Below are 1,860 nucleotides of genomic sequence, written 5' to 3' on the forward strand. Positions count from 1 at the left end.
CAAGCAAATCTATGTGTGGAGTCATACGTTTTATGAATCTCAACTCTAAATAAGAAGAAATATAGTTCAATAAACTGTTAGGACAAATTATATTTGTATCCTCTCTACAGAAAATAGCAATACAAAGTTGTTGTCAAATGAAGAAATGATGAAAGTGTAGGCATCCAGAAAATATAGGAAAAAAATTATAAACAAGTCTTAGTCAATAAAAATAATATGTTATTTTTGCTGTTTTTTGACACTTGTGGGTTTTTTTAGCATTTGAAACATTATAGTTTGCTGTGATTTATTTTCTTATTCCAAATAATTTTTTTTTTTTTTTTAGTATTTATTGATTATTCTTGGGTGTTTCTCGGAGAGGGGGATGGCAGGGGCATAGGATAATAGTGGAGAGAAGGTCAGCAGATAAACACGTGAACAAAGGTCTCTGGTTTTCCTAGGCAGAGGTCCCTGAGGCCTTTCGCAGTGTTTGTGTCCCTGGGTACTTGAGATTAGGGAGTGGTGATGACTCTTAACGAGCATGCTGCCTTCAAGCATCTGTTTAACAAAGCACATCTTGCACCATCCTTAATCCATTTAACCCTGAGTTGACACAGCACATGTTTCAGAGAGCGCGGGGTTGGGGGTAAGGTTATAGATTAACAGCATCCCAAGGCAGAAGAATTTTTCTTAGTACAGAACAAAATGGAGTCTCCTATGTCTACTTCTTTCTACACAGACACAGTAGCAATCTGATCTCTCTTTCTTTTCCCCACATTTCCCCCTTTTCTTTTCAACAAAACTGCCATTGTCATCATGGCCCGTTCTCGATGGTCGCTGTCTCTTTGGAGCTGTTGGGTACACCTGCAGAAAGGCTATCACTTCACACTTGGAAGATTGCACAGCGGCCAGGCAGAGGCGCTCCTCACTTCCCAGAGTGGGTGGCGGCCGGGCAGAGGCGCTCCTCACCTCCCAGACGGGGCCAAATAAAATTCTTATTCATACTTAGTTTTGAAATAACAGTTTTGGAGACCCAGCTCCCACATTTTTTTAAGTTTCAGGCTTCACAAAACCTGAATATGTCCCCGTGTATTTTATTGTATTTAATTTGCATTCTCTACTGTATTCAGTGAAGTTGAATTTCATCTAATTGATTAATTCAATTTCTTTTTTTGGGAGTTGCCTTTCCTTATTCCTTACCATTTTTCTATCGAAGTGTGTGGGGGTTTTTTGTTTTTGTTTTTGTTTTGCCACTTTCTTATTGGTTTGCAAGAGTTCTTTGTATAAGGATAACAAACTTTCATATTTTATTGTGTTGTAATTTTCCCAGTATGTAATTTTTCTTTTAAATTTATCCATGGTATTTTTGACATACAGAATTTTAAAATATATATTCATTTATATTTTATCTTAATAGAGCAATTCATCTTCCTCCCTAATGCAAAAATTTTACATTTATTCCTTTTTTTTTTCTTCACAGAGAATCAGAAAGGAGTAATCGGGGTGTTGCAAGTCCTGATTACGCAGAGACATTAACCACATTTCATGCATCTCCAATCAGCCTATTCTTCCTGCCCTCCAAAAGGAGAAACAGGTAAGAATTATCCCACCTGATGATGCATTTATTCCTGTTCCAGTTTGTGTGTTTTATCTGGAGCAAGTCTTCCGGTCTTAGATTATTTTTAATCCTGATTCCATTATCAGTGGTATTAATGATCAGGACCAGTATGCCTGTTAGATTGTCTTCAGCTGTGAGTAACAGCACATCCAACCAAATGATATAAGTTCATCTTTCTCACATGACAAAAAGTCCATTTGAAGGTTGTGGGTTTAACAGCTCAACAATATCACGGCCCTGGGTCACCTTCTGTCATGGTTGAG

The 1,860-nt window shown here is 37.5% G+C and overlaps 1 non-coding gene across 1 annotated transcript; it reads right to left on the reverse strand.

Annotated features, from left to right (window-relative positions):
- Nucleotides 1-1,462: 1,462 nt before the first annotated feature.
- Nucleotides 1,463-1,596, reverse strand: LOC124900517 (U8 small nucleolar RNA). Its single transcript, XR_007088708.1, has one exon. It is a non-coding gene; the product is annotated as a U8 small nucleolar RNA (small nucleolar RNA).
- Between the last annotated feature and the right edge of the window lie 264 nt (nucleotides 1,597-1,860).

This window comes from Homo sapiens, chromosome 2 (assembly GCF_000001405.40).
Source record: "Homo sapiens chromosome 2, GRCh38.p14 Primary Assembly".
In the NCBI taxonomy this organism is placed as follows: domain Eukaryota; kingdom Metazoa; phylum Chordata; class Mammalia; order Primates; family Hominidae; genus Homo; species Homo sapiens.